The 20,262-nt window shown below is 37.3% G+C and overlaps 1 protein-coding gene across 14 annotated transcripts in view, besides 1 other annotated feature; it reads right to left on the bottom strand.

Moving 5' to 3' along the window:
* The window catches only part of SYT14 (synaptotagmin 14), a 233,173-nt gene that overhangs the window by 35,853 nt on the left and 177,058 nt on the right, over window positions 1–20,262 (bottom strand). The gene's annotated exons all lie outside the window — the stretch shown is intronic.
* Window positions 2,666–2,866: a silencer, noted in NCBI's record as "peak677 fragment used in MPRA reporter construct". NCBI's record gives its function as "represses an SCP1 promoter by STARR-seq MPRAs in K562 erythroleukemia cells {active_cell/tissue: K562}" and the evidence as "EXISTENCE:reporter gene assay evidence [ECO:0000049][PMID:32103011]".

Genomic DNA, 20,262 nt, shown 5'->3' with positions numbered 1-20,262 from the left:
GACCTTAAAACAGCGATTATAAATATGTCCCATGGTTCAAGACAATAGAAGAAAACATGGGCTTGTTAAGAAGAGACACAGACTATATAAAATAGACCAAAATTTAACTTATAGAGGCTGAAAAATCTATCTGAGATGAGAAATACACTGGACTGGATTACCAACATAGACATTGCACAGGACAAGATCAATGAACCCAAAGATACAGCAATAGAAGGTCTAAAATCAAACCACAGAGGAAAAAAAAGACAGGGAAGCCAGGTGCGGTGGCTCATGCCTGTAATCCCAGCATCTTGGGAGGGTGAGGCCAGTGGATCACTTGAGGCCAGGAATTTGAGACCAAACTGGCCAACATGGCAAAACCCTGTCTCTACTAAAAATACAAAAAATTAGCCAGGTGTGGTGGTGCATGCTTGTAATCCTAGGTACTCGGGAGGCTGAGGTAGAAGAATCACTTCAACCCGGGAGGTGGAGGTTGCAATGAGCTGAGATTGTGCCACTGTATTCCAGCCTGGGTGACAGAGTGAGACTCTGTTTTTGAAAAAAAAAAAGACAGGGAAAAAAATTAAGAACACAAAAATTAAGAACACAGCATCGGTGAGTTGGGACAACTTCAAAGGGTCTCATATATATGTATCAGAGTTTCAGAAAGGGGTTATGTGGCCAGAATTAATATTTGAAGAAGTACTGGCAAAAGGTTCCCTTTAATTAAAACTACAAATCCAAACCTTTGAGAAACTCAATGAACCCAGATCGACAGGATGAGATTTGTATGATGAGGTTATGGCTCCTAGCTTTATCAACAGTTTTACAGTGGTACTGTAAAATGATTTAGGAAATGGAGGAGGAGGAAAAGCATGTTTAGGGGTAGGGGCAGAAAGGAGTTCATTATTGTATATGGTGAGTTTAAGGACAAAAGTATGAAGCTTTAAAGGTATACTGTATGTGAAAACACTCTGTAAACAGTTGAAGTGTTTTACAAATGATTTAAGTATGTGTTCAACTAAGGCAAGAAACTCAGGGCTCTATTTCATTAATACTAATGATGATGCTAAGCTTAAAACTGTAAAACTTAGATACAGATGTTCAAATAAATAAGAGTAATGCATAGTTAAGAGCAAGATAATCAAAACAGGGTGTGGTGGCTCACACCTGTAATCCCAGCACTTTGGGAGGCTGAAGCGGGTGGATTGCTTGAGCCCAGGAGTTCAAGATGAGCCCTGGCAACATAGTGAGACTCCTGTCTCTACAAAAAAAATTTTAAAAATTAGCCAGGTGTGGTGGCATGCACCTGTGGTCTCAGCTACTCAGGAGGCTGAGGTGGGAGGATCGCTTGAGCCTGGGAGGTTGAGGCTGCAGTGAGCCACGATTGCACCACTGCCTTCCAGCCTGGGTGACAGAGCAAGACCTTGTCTCCAGCCTGGGTGACAGAATGAGACTGCATCTCAAAAATAAATAAATAAATAAATAAAAATCAACAACAACAAAACCTAACCAATCAAATTGTAACTATGTGCCAACCCTTACATGAATAATGTTGTAATCCTGCCAAAAGCTCCTCTGTCTCTGCCTATACAAATGAAACTTTAGCTTCCCTACTTTGGAATGCCAACTCCATTCCTATGGAGTTGGTGTTTCTGAGTGGTCCATCCCCACACTTTACACTTGAATAAGCTCTCCAAAAAAAAAAAAAAAAGAGTAAATAAGATAATCAGCTGTGACTAAGACATCTTTTGGGCTAGGTTCTCAAAAATAAACAACCAGACAGTTGCCAAAAAAACATCAAAATTAGTACTCAGCTCTAGGATTCTTACAAATTTTTATTCACCTCCACCTTGCACAAGAAGCAAAAGGAATAATACTTCAGAAAGTACAGAGGTTTTGATCTTTCTGTCAGTTCACTTAGAATGGATAAGTGAATATATTAATAAAATATGGGAGGCAAGAGAAAATACTAATACACTGGACACCACTATCAGATTCACCATTACTGGCACCACTATTGACTAACTCCAGCTACTCAATCAGATTTAAGCATTTACTGGTGTCCTCTGCTATCAAATGAAATAAACCTATTTGCTATACAATATCTATTAACTCATTTCTTATTATACTTTCAGTAAATATGAAGAGCAGCATAAGAATCTGAGGACTTCTCCAGTGATAATAGCTTCTGGTATAAATTTGAGGTTGTCACAAAAGCTGCATCCATTATATTATAGGAATAATAAGTGTTGAAGAACCTATATCCCAGTGGAATACAGCAAAAGTCACTGCCTCCCAAACTGAGTCTGATTCTCCAGAGAACCTGACCTGAGGGCAACTGCTAAGATGCTTTGCTAGAAATATATGTGCACTTTCAGAAAGTTCTCCTCCTAGAAAGGGGTATAACTGCAACATTAGGACTCTAACATATGAGCATGTCTATTAATTAAAAGAAGGTACCACCTTTTGAAGTTAGTTATCCTCCAGCTGGCTTATAGAAAGGTCCTCTGACCATTGTGGGAAAATAAAAAGATCAGAGTAAGATATAATAAATTCAGAGAATGGTGTACAGATTTACAAAAGCTCCTAGACAGTCAAAGTGTGGAAATGAAGTCAGGTTTTACAGGGCTTTAGAAAAAAAATCTCAGAAACAAGTAAGAGGTATAGTTAGATCTGTAACAGTGGGGAAGATTCACAATGGTCGGATTTAAGGCAGCTACGCTAGAATCCAGAAGAGAGGCTAGGGACTTGTCAGTACCATGGACAGTTCCACCACTCAGTTTCTCTGTCTTTAATCTCAGAAGGCCAAAAATTATATCTAGTTGCAATACTCTGAAGATTATACTTGGTGGCCATTTCATAGACATCTGGAAAAGGGAAATATCTGAATTATCTGAGACATAAAGTATGGCCACATGTGCGTAATGGTCAATATAAGTTAGTGGCTACACACACACACACACACACACACACACACACACACAATATATAAAATCATCATCATCTTAGACTTTATAGAGGGACTGTCGAGGGGTCATTAACTTACAAAACCAATTAAGGGTGATGAAATAATCTGTACAATAAACCCCTATGACACAAGTTTACCTATACAACAAACCTGCACATGTACCCCTGAGCTTAAAATAAAAGTTAAAAAAAATCAATTATGTCCAAGCAGGGTGAGGAGGGTGTCCTCACAGAGGAGTGGCACGTGGCACACCAGCAGGGTGAACAGGATGTCCATGCCAGGATGGGAAGAAAGATATGAAGAGGTGGACTTGGCGTGGGGAGAGAGCCCAGATGGGCAGCCTGGTGGTGGCCATCAGATCCTGAGCAGAATAAGGAGAACATTTCCACAGAGGGATGGCCTTGCCTGGGGTGTAGAGCCTTGGTGGGGTAAAGAAGACATTTCATTGAGGGCAACACATAGTAACACAGAATGGGCTGCCAGAACCTTCTGCAGGGTGAGAAGGGCACCCATTCAGAGGGGTGAGCCAGTTCAGGTATCAGGTTCCAAGTAGAGTAAGGAGAGTGTTTCCGTAGAAGAGTGGTCTAGTGTGGGATGTCAGAGCCCAAGGCTGGTGTCCTGCATCAGGGCCAGCCTGGTATGAGGCTTCAAAACCTTTGCAGGGTGAGGAGAGCTTTTACTTGGTGTCAGAGGCCAAATACAATGAGGACTTCATGCAGGAGGAGAAAATAAACACAGGGAGTTAGAACCTGAGTTTGGGAATGAATATGTTTATATGGAAGAAGGGATGGCTGCAACAGAACACTGGCTACATTCAAAGAGACTGATCAAATGAGTTAATACATTAAGGATAACAGAAGCCATGCTTTTCACTATGGAAAAAGGTAGCTACACATATAAAAAGGGAGAAAATTAGTATGAATCCTGTGGTGCTGAATTAAAATTGGTAGTCTCAATGTGAATGCATGGCTTTCAATATATAGGTATAGAAATAAATATAAATGTAAATATGTATATGTACATATACATATATATATAAATAATGATAAAAAATAGAAGGATAATTTTCCATAAGTCTTGCCTCTACGAAAAAGTGGCATAAGGCATGAAAGATATTTAGTATAGTATATACCATTCTACTGTGCAATTAAGACTTTAACAATTTACATTTTCTTTCATATTTTATAACAAGTTCTACATATATTAATAAGACTATTCATATAAAAGGGAGAAAATTTTTTAAAATTACTCATGCAAGACGTTCAGAGGGACAAAATGGATTATGAAAACAACTTGTCAATTCCAACTAAAAGGAAATCAAATTAAACTATCCTTAAGAAAGAAGTGGCTAAAAGGTGACAGTCACAGCGGTGATGGTAGTAGAAACAACAGTGATGATGATAATATTAACACAACTATTATTTACTGACTGTTTACTAAGTCCCAGGAACTGTGCTAACCACTTCATATGAATTAAAATCTTAAACACATTCTCACTAAGGAATTAGGACAATGATGATTTCAGTTTAAATTTATGAATACCGTGAGTTTCAAATTTCCTTTCTTAAACGTTAAAGTGGTCATAACAATTCTCTTATGCCACAAAACAGACTGTTTGAAGATTATTTCTGATTCAAATTTCAAATGTTATGAATAAGTTACCGACAAATATAATGGCAAAATATGATTTATATGTTCATTAAAATAGGAATACAGAAGTATATTTCTGAGACCAACTTCATCGTGAATTCTCTAGCTACCTGAGTTATTACATATGATGTTATTACTGTTGTTTCTGTATATATCCTCATAGAGTATTAAAAGCATTTCTCAGGAAATGGAAAGTTAATGGCTATAGAAATAGCAATGGTTTCTATTTCACTTTATCACGATGTGTTATTTTGGAACAAATCTTTTAATGTCATTTTCATTCCTTCTGTCATTTTACACTGTGAAGTTCAGGACAGTCCAGGTGGGACTATACACCGTAAAAATGGCCTTGTGGATAATTAATGGGCCACTTGGCATATTTTCCAAATCAGTATTCCTAAATGACCAGTGAAGCCCAGGAAATGATGAATTTGTCAGTTTCTTAAAAATTTAGTTCTAATATCTTCAATGCCACAATAAACTTTGTTTAAATAAACTGAATCCAAAGAAAAATGTAATCTATAATACTCTAGGTTACATACAATGAACACTGGAAAAAAAACCATTTTTTTTCTCATGGTCATAATGACTTTAATCCATCTTAAAATGTTTTTTGTTTTTTTCTGCTCTCAAAATGTACTAAGCTTCTAATGAATCAAGGAGAGAAATAATTTTAATATTTTACAGTATATATGAAATGTAAAATTTTGAAAGAAGCCAAGGGCAATGAAATGGTTAACATTTAATAGTGTGTATAAGTACTTCTTTCCATTCGTTTAGCTGGTTGCAGTTTGAGCAGTTTTGGAAAAAACAGTTTTATAATAGTTTTCTGAATGATATGGTTTGTTTCATGTTAAGTCTATGGTCAGACCCGACAGATATTTCAGAACTCAACAGTGACTCATTGCAGTCCTGGGGCTATCCAGAAAATGACAGTGAAGAAGAAGATATGAAAGTAAGATAGATTCTGTGGGGCAATGACAATTGATGCAGTTTTGATATTAGAGGCTCTTGTAGAGCTTTTACAAGATACAGATACTCAGGCCCCACAAATCAACAGGTCTAAGTGGGAGCCTGAGCATCTTTACTTTGAAGACTCTCCAACTCATTCTAGTGTAATTAAGATTGAGAATCACCGTTTTCAGGGCTTACTTAGCTCATAGCCAATTAAGCATATTAGAAAGACACTGATTGTGTGAAATAGACCTCAAGTTTCCTAAAGGCAATGTGCAGAAAATTCTGCCTAATTCTGATGCAGCATCAAACTGATTAAAATAGGATTTCATGTATATTATGTCCAATCACTAAAGGTTTAGTGAACATTATTATCAAGAAAGTTTAAATAAATATTACAGTAGACATTAGCTGGTTATGTCCCTAGCATCCATTCATCACTTCCTTTTAGTGGTGGTACCATGAACTTAACTCCTTTCTAACTTTCATCTAATGTGATTTGGAAGGTGACCGACCAACCAGCAGCTCCAGGGCATAAGCTAATCAGTGCGTCCCATCCCTGTAGCCACTGTGATTGGTTCTGGAATGGGCACACAACTCAGTGAGACACAAGGAGTTTCAAGACGGCCATTATGTGAAACCTGATTATGCAGCTGATGCATGGAAGGCAGGGTCGGGGAAGAGAGTAGAAAGAGAAACCAGCACCTTGGTAATATTACTTCTGTCATGCCTGAAGAAAGGCCTACTCTCTAGGTCTTTATTATTGCTTAAACCATTTTGAGTTGGTGTGCATTCACTTGAAACTGACAGAATCTTAACTGATGCAAATAATTATTCAGTGTAATCTCTGGCTTTTTATATGATTAAATGATGGTAGGGGATTTCTAAAAAGGAAACTTTTCTTAATATTTTTACTATAATTTCATTTGTACTTCTTTATAATTCTACTCCTGAAGCTATTTTTTTGGATACCTAAGGAACATACATTGCTAAATATTTGAAAAGGAAAACAAAGGCAGTAAAAGATGGAAAAATCTGATGAAACACAAAAAAACAGACCAAAATATGTCCTCAGAACTTATTCCAAAATATATACTTCAACTCACTCATATCCACAATGTTCTTCGGGAAAACAATTTATGTATCAGTGGTTCTGATATTTTAGTGTATGCTACTATCACTTGGGCAATTTGTTTAAAATAGATTCCTAGGCTGCTTTCCAGTGATTCTGATTTAGTGGATCTAGTGTTGAGTCCCCGAAATAGACACTGTTCGTATTCCATAAGATTCTGATGCAAATGATTGGTAGAGCTTACTCAGAAATTCTGTAGGACATAAGAGGGTAGTGGATCTGTTTCAGAACAAACACTTCAGCTACTAATTTTGCATTTTAAATATTGATTTTTAAAGAGTGGCATTTCTAATGTAATATAAAAGTGAAAAATATTTTCCAAAGGTAAACAAGTCTAAGTTCTTATTAAAAGAAGATGAAAGGAAAAATAAATATTGTATATGAGTTGCAAACTTTTGTTTGCATTTACAATATAAGATAGCTGTTTACTAGTGAAGAGCTACATATATACATCTACTTTTTTTTTTTTTTGAGACAGGGTCTCGCTCTGTCACCCAGACTAGAGTACAATGGTGTGACCATGGCTCACTGCAGCCTCAATCTCCCAGCCTCAAGCAATCCTCCCACCTCAGCCTCCCAAGTAGCTGGGACCACAGGCATGTGTCACCATGCCCAACTAATTTTTTAAAACATTTTTTGTAGAGACTGGGTCTCCCTGTGTTGTCCAGGTTGGTCTCGAACTTCTGACCTCAAGCGATCGTCCTGCCTCAGCCTTCCAAAGTGCTGGGATTACAGGCGTGAGCCACCATACCTGGCCTTAAAAATCTACCTTGAAAATAATTAATAGTCATAGATCTAATCATCCTATTTTATTTTACTGAGATGGATTTTCTCTTTTTGCCCAGGCTGGAGTGCAATGGCGCGATATTGGGCACAATCTGCAACCTCCGCCTCCCAGGTTCAAGCAATTCTCCTGCCTCAGCCTCCCGAGTAGCTGGGACTACAGGCGCCCGCCCCCATGCCCAGCTAATTTTTGGTATTTTTAGTAGAGACGAGGTTTCACCATGTTGGCCAGGCTGGTCACGAACTACTGACCTCAGGTGATCCACCCACCTCGACCTCCCAAAGTGCTGGGATTACAGGAGTGAGCCACTGTGCCCTGCCCTGATCATCCAATTTTAAAAATAAAATATTATATACTTGGAAAGAGAGGAGAAACTTAAAGGAGAAATTATTCATTTTAGGTACATTCATCCAAAAGGATAGTTTCATATTAAAGCATGAATTTGAAGACCGCTACCAAAATTCCTGGTTGTAAGTCACAGTGAACACTGTTGTTTGCCTGCTCAACAGCCACTGCCAACCTCTTCATTTCTTGTTGGAAGGGCTCTCCTCCTACTTTGGAGACTAAAAATGCCAGCACTTGCATTTCTAGTCTTTCTGGCAGATGCCATGGGTATATGACCAAATCCTAGCCAATGGAATCTAAGAGGAAGTTTGCTGAGGGCATCTGCTGTAGCCACCACCAACACAGCCATACTTACACTGTCACCTCCCCCGCCAAAGTCCTCAATAGAGGGTCTCCTTAGCAACTCCCTGAGGATCTCCACTTATAGATTGCTCAAGCCACTGCCCTGGGAGTGAGGGTAAGAATGGGAAATATGTCTACCTCATTATCCAATGAAAATAAAGTCTAAGTGGTACTTACGTTCTCCTAGAATCTTTAGTGCTTTTATAATACTCAGCTTTAGTTCAAACTTCTACATGCTGACTTGCAAATGAACTTTTAACTTATAAATGAGTATGGGACCACAATACATTCATTAGGTAGGGACTACCTGTGAAAGCACATTTTACCATTTTTCCTATTTTAAATATCCAAGCCCCTGCCCACTCAACAGCCATAGAACCCCATCCACTAAGGAACATAACATTATCAAAAGCCTCTACTTCTTTCTCTATATGTCACTCACACAATTTAGTAAACTGTTAAATTGATCAGAGCTATGAAATTTTAAGTGAGTTAACATATTTCATGATACATCCTAGGGTACAGAACCATAAAAGATTCAGAGGAAAATGGTGAGAAACATCCAAAAGGACCAAAATTTAAAAAGAAATGGCAAGGATCCACAAAGAGAGAATTCAGCACTTTTTCATAAAATTATTTTGGTCATAATATATTTTCAGCAGCATACCAGTACCGATGATGAAAAGAGTACTTTTAGTTCTCATTTCTGGATCTACTTTACGTTGTATTTTTGTCCTAAAAATCACAATCTTGACATTTTAGGGTTTCTGAAAGATTTTCACATCTAATAAAAAACAAATTACATGGGAATAAAAACATGTTCATACTTTAAACTTGGTTCTATCAACAATCCCAGACAAATTTAACCCCCTTTCAGGTCAAATTTAGTGTTACAAAGATATAATGATAAAGTATAGAATAGCTGAAAGAACAGACTGTGGAGACAGATGAATTTAAATCCTCACTCTGCCTCTTCTTAAGCATGTGACTTTGGGCAATTCAGTTAACCTTTCTATGCATTTTTTTTTTTTTGGCCATAAATTAAGGATAATAGTACCTATCTCAGGGGTAAACGTGTTAATATATATCATGCTTAAAATTGCACCCAGTACACGGAAGCACTTTTCAAGCTGAAGAAAGTAAGTGGATGTTGCCTTTCTGTTTTTTTTTTTCTTGAGACGGAGTCTCACTCTGTCGCCAGGCTGGAGTGCACTGGGGTGATCTCAGCTCACAGTGGCCTCTGACTCCTTGGTTCAAGCAATTCTCCTGTATCAGGCTCCCGCATAGCTGGAATTACAGGCGTGCACCACCACACACAGTGAATTTTTGTATTTTTAGTAGAGATGGGGTTTCACCATGTTGGCCAGGATGATCTCGATCTCCTGACCTCCTGAGCTGCCCTCCTCGGCCTCCCAAAGTGCTGGGATTACAGGCATGGGCCACCGTGCCTGGCTGGACGTTGCCTTTCTTTACCTCTTTCCACTAATGTAATTATTCTTAGACATTATATGTTAAGAAACCATTTTAACTAGAATCAAACCCTGGTTATGACTGGCAGTGTTTTAGTATAGCATGGACTGCCTAGATATAATTTTAAAATCTGAAAACCTCTTATTCTATCATTAATACTAAACTTCTGTGAACTACATCAGTCAGGAATCAGTGAAGGAAAACGAAATCACTTTGGGTATTTTAAGAAAGAGATTTAATTCAGAAAATTAGGTGCTTACAAAATTGTTAGAAGAGCTGGAGTAGCAAGGTTTAGGCTAGTTCTGCAGAAATGACTCCTAGAACACTGAAAAGCTGATCCCCCAAAGGAGCTACTAAGTAGTGGGAAGGCAGGAAGATATGACTTAAAAAACATACTATCTTAGTTTGATCAAGAGATCAGAAAGTCTTCACGGCCATTGCAATTACCTCTTAGTGCACATGAAGCGGTAAACTAGCTACTATACACCATGGAATACCATAGCCCTAAAAAAGAATGAAATCATATCCTTTGCAGCAACACCAATGCAGCTGGAGGCCATTACCCTAAGTGAATTAGCGCAGAAACAGAAAATCAAATCCATATGTTCTCACTTGTAAGTGGGAACTAAATAATGGGTACACATAAAGATGGAAACAACAGACTCCGGGAATTTCAAAAGGGGGGAGGGTGGGATGGGGGTAAGGATTGAGAAACTACTCATTGGGTACTATGCTCACTACTTGGGTGATGGGTTCAATAGAAGCTCAAACTCCAGCATTATGCAGTATATCCTTGTAACAAACATGGACACCTACCCCCTGAATCTAAAAAAAAAAAGAAAAAGAATGTTACTGGAGGAGGAAAAACATCTTTCGTTTGAACTTGCCTGCCTGAAGCAGTAAGAAAATGGCCTCTGCCTTCACTTTAACTTCGCAAATCATGCACAAATGTGTTTAATTGTTGGAACCTGACTAGCATCCAGAATGCTACAGAATCTCAAACATATTTCTCTTGAAGTACAGGAAAAAAAAAAACCACACAAAAAAAACTAGAAAGGGCTGGGAATATTTGTAGTTTGCCAAGCAATCAAATGTAACACAGTGACTTTGGGATAGTCAAAGTCATAAAATTACAGTTTTGTCATCTGTAAAATGGGGATTAAATAATGACACCTACCCATAATAGTGTTGTGTTTAGAATTTAAGGAGATTATACATCGAAACACTTCATATAGTGAAAATCAAGTTTCTTTACCATTTTGAAGCCTTAGCTTAACTGTCTTGTTGCATCTAGCTTTACAGTTGAAAAGTTTGATGCCCTTCTGATCTTTCTAATTTTTATGTCATCAGGGGGTCTTTCCGGATTTTCTTTTACCCCTGGTGTTCTAAAATTTCACAATGATGTGTCTAGGTCTGGATTTTTTCATTTATTGTTCAGATCCTTTATTTGGAGACAAGCTCTTCAGCTTTGGCACATTGCCTTGTATTTTTAATACAACTTCCTCCCCTCTGTTTTCTTTCTTTATGAATCACCTGTTAGTCATATGTTAAATCCTCCTGGATTGTCTAATCTCTAATCCTTTTTTAAATCTTTCCATCTGTTTCTTTTCCACTCTATTTTCCTTTTATATTTCCTGGAGTTATTTATTTATTTTTTTTTTTCATTTCTGTCTTCTAATTAATGGGTTAGCAAACTTTTTCTGTAAAGGGCCAGATAGTAAATTTTTTGGTTTCATGAGCATATGATCTCTGTCATAACTACTCACTCTGCTGTTGTAGCATGAAAGCAGCCATAGACAATATGAAAACAAATAGGCAGTGCTGGGTTCCAGTATACCTTTCTTTACAAAAACAGGTGGAAGGCCATAGTTTGCCAATCCTCGTACTGACCCTTCTACTATTTGCTTTGTTTTGGTGATCATACTTGTAATTTACAAGAGACCCTTTTTTCTATGACTGTTCCTTTTTCTGAGCATTTTTTCTCTTTTAAAAAAATTTGTCTTCTCACATCTTTCTGAAAACACTAATTAAAATTAGTTTTTAGTTTTCTTGTCATCTTTCCATTATGGACCCTTTCTGTTGCATAATTTTATTTTCTGTTTATCCTGGATTTTCTCTTTCCTGGTGGAGGCTTTCCCTTAGTGTCTCCTCAGCCATGATTGCCTGTTTATATTTAAGAATACATTCCCCAAAAAACTCTAAACGTTTAAATGCAACTTGTTCACTGACAGGCATAAACATGATTAGATGGAGATAAGGCAATTTCCCTGGGGACTCTTAAATGTCAGTATGGGGCAATCTTTGCTTGGAATCTTGAGATTTTCCAGAGAAGAAACTTATGCTATTTACTGCCCAAGGGCTAGACACAAGCCTGACACTATTCTTCATGTTGGATGGAAATACAACTATACATCTCACAGGCTTTTAGTGATTATCTTGTTTTTAATCCCCAGATTCATGCTACCCCATGCTGTACCTGGTAGTATTCATGGGTGTGTGATCAGATTAGTTCTCTCCTTCTGTGTGCACTTTATGCTCAGTTATCTCCATTCTTTCTAAAGAGTCAGTTACCAGCCTCCACCCACAATGTCTTCAGAAGGTGGTATGTCTCATCTGCTGATGCCCTCTTTCCAGCTATTTAGACTTCATGGGTATAAATGTGAATGTATATATATATATGTATTTATTGTTGTAAACTATGACACTATCATTTCAGTGGAGATTACAGGAAGAATAAATAATTATATGTGCCTAATCCACTATCTTTAACTGTAAAAATAAACTCTTTCTTGCATTTTCTTTTGGCAGTGCCAGTCCAGGCCAACTTGTTTAACACATACTACGACTTGTCAGATATTTAAGTATTTCACATTCAATAATATTTTTATAAATTAAACACTTGGATTCAGGAACTGTGATAACTGGACACAGTTGAGTATTTAGGAAAGGCTTTGTTATGCAAATCTATTATTTAAGTAAGATGTAAAAGAGAATGTCCCAAGAGAGCAAATTCATGTACTATAAAAGCACAAATTTATTTACAAACTACTGACTGATATGCAAATCATAAGGTGAATATACAGATTATATTAATCTTACAATTCACGGTATGGAATATTGTTTACAGTTATTCACTGACCCTCACTGTTGATCCCAGGCTTGGCCATAAGACTTGCTTTTAAGATCAGAAGTAAGCAAACTACAGGAGGCAAACTGAATGTGGCATGTGGTCTGTTTTTTTGTACAGCCAGCATGCTAAGAAAGGTTTTACATTTTTAAAAAGAATTGTAAAAAAAAAAAATGCGACAGAGACCATATGTGGAACCTAAAAAAAAAAAAATGAACTCTCTGGCACTTTACAGAAAAAGTTTGCCAACCCCTGCTTTAGACAATGAAATGTAAATGGAAGTGGCATGTGTCAATTTTGGGCAAAAGCTTTAAAAGACAAGGATTAGTTTTCTATGCTCTCTGCCATGACAACCAAGAAAGTTTCAGAAAGAACCTGCCCAATCAGTCTGGATCTTACAGTGAAGAAAACATGGAATAGAGCCATAATTGACCCACAATAAACATGTGGCATAAGTAAGAAATAAACCTTTGTTGTGGGCATTTAAAAGTTTCAGGATTTGGGCCGGGCGCGGTGGCTCACGCCTGTAATCCCAGCACTTTGGGAGGCCGAGGCGGGCGGATCACGAGGTCAGGAGATCGAGACCATCCCGGCTAAAACGGTGAAACCCCGTCTCTACTAAAAATACAAAAAAATTAGCCGGGCGTAGTGGCGGGCGCCTGTAGTCCCAGCTACTTGGGAGGCTGAGGCAGGAGAATGGCGTGAACCCGGGAGGCGGAGCTTGCAGTGAGCCGAGATCCCACCACTGCACTCCAGCCTGGGCGACAGAGCGAGACTCCGTCTCAAAAAAAAAAAAAAAAAAAAAAAAGTTTCAGGATTTGTTACTTCAGAATAGCCTGGTTTAAGCTGCTTGATATGTATCAATGTAATATGAGTTACTACGCATGCCTGAAAATAATAAAAGTGCATTTATTTAAAGAATATTTATAATTCAGTCATCTTAATAATTACTCAGAATATATTTCTTTCTTCTTTTTTTTTTTTTTGAAATGGGGTCTCGCTCTGTCGCCCAGGCTAGAGTGCAGTGGTGCGATCTTGGCTCACTGCAAGCTCTGCCTCCTGGGTTCACGCCATTCTCCTGCCTCAGCCTCCCGAGTAGCTGGGACTACAGGCGCCCGCCACCACGCCTGGCTAATTTTTTGTATTTTTAGTAGAGACAGAGTTTCACCATGTTAGCCAGGATGGTCTCAATCTCCTGACCTTGTGATCCGCCCACCTTGGCCTCCCAAAGTGCTGGGATTACAGGTGTGAGCCACCGCGCCTGGCCCTACTCAGAATATATTTCCAAAAAGTTGTATCTCAAAAACATTTGAGGCTTGAATTATATTTAGTTCCTGAAAACAGTTATTACTAGCTACTTCTGTTGTAATAACGGTACTTTTACCTTCTTCTTTTCCAGCTTGGTATGTCCCTTCTGATTTTGAAACTTGAAAAAATACAATGCAAAGATTTTTTACTTGCGGACTAGTATCTAATTAAGATTACCACAAAATTAGAACATTAAATTTATTCATACATGGATAAGATCAAATAAAAATAGCATTTAGCAAGTTCCCACTCTTTGTCAGCTGCTGTTCTAAGGACTCTACATGGACTAACTCCTTTAATCCTCACAAAAAATCTATAAGGTAGCTATTATCGTTACTATCTCTTTTTACAAATGAAGAAAATGAGGCACAGAGAGGCTGAATATTCACCCAAGGACACACAGTTGGGATGAAGTGGGATCCATGATGTGAATCCAGAGACTGCAGATGCTCCCAACTTTATACCAACCCTCAAATGCAAACATAAACTTGGTCTTGAATATCTAACAACTTTGGCACTAAAATGGCAGATTTCTCCTATCTAGTAATTCTTGAATATTTTGTGACAAATCACAAATGAGCTGGTATAAAAATTTTTCTTAACTTTAACACAGCTTAAAGGACAGTGCTAATTTTCATTTCAGGGAGAAATATACCACCGAAAGTAAACTGACTAACAAAAAAGGTACTTCTAATATGCTGCTATCCATAAAGTAAAATATATCTTATTCTCTTTAGATATGTTATAACTTTTATTATACAAATTATAGTCACATGTCAATGACACAGAAACGGTCTGAGAAATGCACTGTTTGGCAATTTTGTCATTGTGGGAACATCATAGAGTGTACTTACACAAACCTAGATGGTATAGCCTATTGCTCCTAGGCTACCAACCTGTACAGCAGGTTACCGTACTGAACACTGTAGGCAACTGTAACACAATGGTAAGTATTTGTGTATCTAAGCATATTTGAACATATAAAAGGTATAGTAGCTTCTCGGGAGGCTGATGAGCCCAGGAGGTCAAGGTTGCAGTGAATCTTGATTGTGCCACTGCACTCCAGCCTAACAGAGTGACCCTATCTCAAACAAAAAAAAAAAAAACAGCAAAAACACCAAAAAAAATTTACGGTAATAAGACCGTGTAATAATCTGGGATCACCATCAATTATGTGATCTGTTGTTGACTGAAACATTATGTGTGGTGCATGACTGTATATAATTTGATTATAATATCAGGTAATTCCAAAATATAACAAAACTATGTGCACCAAACTCAAGTTTTCAGTTTCTGTTAGTTCTGTTAGCTTTTCCTACTAGAAAAAAAAAAGTAATTTAGTACCATTCTAATCATTAGTTGCCCCAAAAGTGACTGACTATAAAAAGGACATGGTAAATAGCTAAGGTATAGCCTATAAAAACAATTCTAAGAGATATAGGAAAGAAAATAATGTATACCTTTTGTAAGATCAGAGGATATCGTTACCAAAAATGGTAGAATTACTCAAATTAAATTAAGGACACCCGTTTTATCTCAGAGACGCAACTAATATTTGTTAGTTCAAAGGTTTTCACATACTTTACCTCATTTAATCTTCACAACCTTGTGAAGTACCCAGGTAAGCTGGCACTACTATTTCAATTCTAACATGTGTACTATGGAGAATTAGCCTTTTTACCAGAACATCTTTGCATAATCAACACCTAAAAATGTGTATTTTACTCTAACAGGAGCTCCGGGAATACAAACACGTGGTACTTGCAGGAGCATGTTCATTTTCAATTATGGAAATTTACATCTATTTGCTTAAAATAAACATCAGGAAATTTATATACTGGCTCATCATGAACAATAACTTTATGACCAGAATTATTCTTTTCCCTGCATAAAATTCAACGTAACTTTCAAATAGATATCTTTCTGACTCATTATAAGTCTCTACTGAATCCACAGCACAAATGTGATTATGAGACTAGAAACCTGCTAATAAACAATTTCATTCAATTTAAAATGTTTAAAATTAAGTTCCTTTGTCCTAGGCTGCATTCAGTATTTCTTAAGTTCTACTCTATTCTAAGAACATAAATACATCAAGGATAAAAACTGCCTCTTTTCTAAATTAAATCTCAAGTTTTCTGGAGAGAAAAACATTTTTGCAATTAGTATTTCCCAGTTTTCTTTAAATTCTCACCATCTGCCTAAATGGACACTACTTTGGAAAAGTAGCATTAAATCCTGTCCACCTCAAAATAACTGTCTCAGCAGATATATCCATAATTCTTGGAAGAAATATCCTCACTACTGCTAAATTCAGAGGAAAGATTACAAGCAATGTAATTACTAGTAGTTTGCTGATAAAATATATTCTTATAAAATACATATTCATATCTATCATTAAAAATAGTATTAAACATTTTTCAAATGAAGCACCTACTATTATAAATCATCTGTCAAGATTTTGAGTACAAAAATATGAGAATTAAGGATTTTGGTTTTAAAACATATTTGCCCATTGTATACTTTATTGTTATTTTAGATTAGCATGATGGGGAAAATGATTAAAGAAAAGAATAAAACATTGCTTCTGTTTGCTATTTCTTTCATTTGTAAAGGGTAGACCTGAAGAACAACCTCACTCAATGTTACTGTTCATTTAATTATCATCCATCCACCAAATGGTAAGATAATAAACAAGAAACACAGTGGATACAACTATTATTATTATAAAACAATCAGCAGAGGCAGATGGATCACCTGAGGTCAGGAGTTCGAGACCAGCCTGGCCAACATGATGAAACATCATCTCTACTAAAAATACAAAAATATTAGCTGGGCATGGTGGCAGGTGCCTGTAATCCCAGCTACTTGGGAGGCTGAAGCAGGAGAATCACTTGAACTGGGAGGCGGAGGTTGCAGTGAGCCGAGACCACGCCATTGCACTCCAGCCTGGGTAATGAAAGCAAGACTCCATCTCAAAAAACAAAAACAAAACAAAAAACAATCAACACAAAAGGGAACTTACTCGGGAACACTGTAATGTAATAAAAATGCTTCCTTAAATATATATAATTTCATAGATGTTGATAATAATGAAGAAGGCATGTTTTCAGGATGTCCATAATCTAGATACTCCCCAAAGAAATAATTTTTGAAATAACAGTTAATATTTAGAATTTGAATGTTGTCTCCCTATGATGTTTTTATAAGAAACACTATTTTATCCCCTCTTTCTCAATTTAATAAATTTTAGAGCATACTTAACTACAGAATATGCTGCTTGCTTGGACCCATTTATGTGTTATAATCTACCATAAAATGGTCAAGTAGTATTCTCTTTCCATAAAACATTTGTTAATCTCTCTCATTAGCATTACAAACAACTAAAGTTGGTATCATGAAGAAATAAATTGCTTAAAATAAAATAGAGCAGCAAAGGAAAACAATGCCTGTGCTTTAAGCTTATTCTTTCATTGTTGAAAAACATAATACACACTTGTTGGTTGCTGACAGTGAAGGGATTAGCATTTGGATGGCTCAACAAAATGAATCCCAATTTAGGTGCTTGATGTTCTTTATTCTCTATATTAAATACTTTAAAAAGCAGTTTTACATATTGAAATTTCAGTTTTTCTCACTCAGTCTTCCTGCATGTTCAAAATTTCTTGAGACTTGACCTTTAAACCTGACTTTTTTCCTACAAAACTAAAAATCTGACTTAAACAAAAGGCTTTCTTTTATGACCTGTTTGTTTCTTCTTTTCACTAAAAGATTTATCTGATAACAATTCTTTGTGTGAGACTGCAGTTATTCCTCTCAACTAATAATATATGCTCATTTACTTTCTCTGTGAATAATTGTCTGTAAATAGGTCTATAATCATTAAGTTTTTATACTAAAGTGAGCCATGACTCATTACTGTTGTTGTCTAGGGAACTAGAACACATGTAGCTTTCTTCTTCATGTAGTAATTTTTAACTGTGATTATTAGTTTATCATGAAGTATTTATTACAAATTGTTTTACAAAGAAGAAGAGTAATCTACATTCAGAAAATGTAGATTTTTGCTGACAATGGTAGTTGTGAATTATACTGAATATGAAAACAGATGAAGCTAAGTTTTGAAAGGTATTTCCTTATAATATAAAGTATGATTCTTATAGGGACACACATCTGAATTATAGAGTATCAGCAATAATTTACCTCTTAAAAATAAAAATAACAGTATAAACATCAAACTGAAGTGATTTAATCCATTAACATAAAAGATAGGCTATTTCTGACACATAGGAATTTTAGAAATTAAAGGTTGAAATTACAACTATCTACAAGTTCATCATTGTAGTAAGTCATAAAGAGGGTAGTTCAGTCTTAAGAGTCTGTGGCATTATACTCTTGACTGAGAAGTGGCATACACACATATGTCCCTAATTAATCAATTATTATTTAAAAATAAAACAACTCCTGATGTGTTCCTATTTAAATACCCTGAGATGCATGCTTATTGCATTCCAGGTTATAAAAGATTCTTAGTAGGGGCAGGATACTGACACCTCTCAAGAAATAATATTATATTATATGAAACTGAATAAGAATTTAAGAATGATCAGATTTACTTGGACATGTTGATGAATAAATTTAATAAGTGTTCATTGAACACCTGTGTTTTAGATACTATGAAAAATACCATATGTTGATGAATAAATTTAATAAGTGTTCATTGAACACCTATGTTTTAGATACTATGAAAAATACCATATAAATAAAACAGTCTCTCTTCTCCAAGTGTTTAAAATCTAGATTAAGATATAAAACAATGAGTTCAGGATGGGCATGGTGGCTCATGCCTGTAATCCCAATACTTTGGGAGGCCAAGGGGGGCAGATCACTTGAAGTCAGGAGTTTGAGACCAGCCTGGCCAACATGGTGAAACCCCACCTCTACCAAAAATACAAAAATTAGCCGGACATGGTGGCGCATGCCTATGGTCCTGGCAACTTGGGAGGCTGAGGCAGGAAAATCACTTGAAACCAGGAACCTGGGAAGTGGAGGTTGCAGTGAGCTGAGATTGTGCCACTGCACTCCAGCGTGGAAACAGAGTGAGACTCTATCTCAAAACAAAACAAAACAAAAACAAAACAAGTTCAATAATATAAGATTAGCTGCAAAAATGAAACTACAGGCAATAAACTCAGAGATAATATACATACCCTATGAACTTATTCACCCATCCATTCATTCAACATTTATACAGCAATAATTAGTGTCAGGCCTCTGGGCCCAAGCCTGCACATATACATCCAGATGGCCTGAAGTAACTGAAGAATGACAAAAGAAGTGAAAATGGCTGGTTCCTGCCTTAACTGATGACATTACCTTGTGAAATTCCTTCTCCTGGCTCAGAAGCTCCCCCACTGAGCACCTTGTGACCCCCGCCCCTGCTCACCAGAGAACAACCCCTATTGACTATAATTTTCCACTACCCACCCAAATCCTATAAAACGGCCCACCCCTACCTCTCTTCGCTGACTCTCTTTTCGGACTCAGCCTGCCTGCACCCAGATGATTAAAAAGCTTTATTGCTCACACAAAGCCTGGTGGTCTCTTCACACAGATGCACATGAAATTTGGTGCCGTGACTCAGACTGGGAGACCTCCCTTGGGAGATCAATCCCTTGTCCTCCTGCTCTTTGCTCCATGAGAAAGATCCACCTACGACCTCGGGTCCTCAGACCAACCAGCCCAAGGAACATCTCACCAATTTTAAATCGGGTAAGTGGCCTCTTTTTACTCTCTTCTCCAACCTCTCTCACTATCCCTCAACCTCTTTCTCCTTTCAACCTTGCCGCCATCCTTCAATCTCTCCCTTCTCTTAATTTCAGTTCCTTTCCTTTTCTGGTAGAGACAGAGAAGACACATTTTATCCATGAACCCAAAACTCCGGTGCTGGTAACGGACTCTGGAAGACAGTCTTCCCTTGGTGTTTAATCACTGCGGGGACGCCTGCTTGATTATTCACCCATGTTTCAGAGGTGTCTGATCACTGCAGGGATGCCTGCCTTGATCCTTCACCCTTAGTGGCAAGCACCACTTTCCTGGGGGGCAAGCACCCCCCAACCCTTCTCTCTGTGTCTCTACCCTCTCTTTTCTCTGGGCTTGCATCCTTCACTATAGACAACCTTCCACCCTCCATTCCT

Source organism: Homo sapiens, chromosome 1 (assembly GCF_000001405.40).
Source record: "Homo sapiens chromosome 1, GRCh38.p14 Primary Assembly".
In the NCBI taxonomy this organism is placed as follows: Eukaryota; Metazoa; Chordata; class Mammalia; order Primates; family Hominidae; genus Homo; species Homo sapiens.
This window is presented reverse-complemented; position numbering and strand designations above follow the sequence as displayed.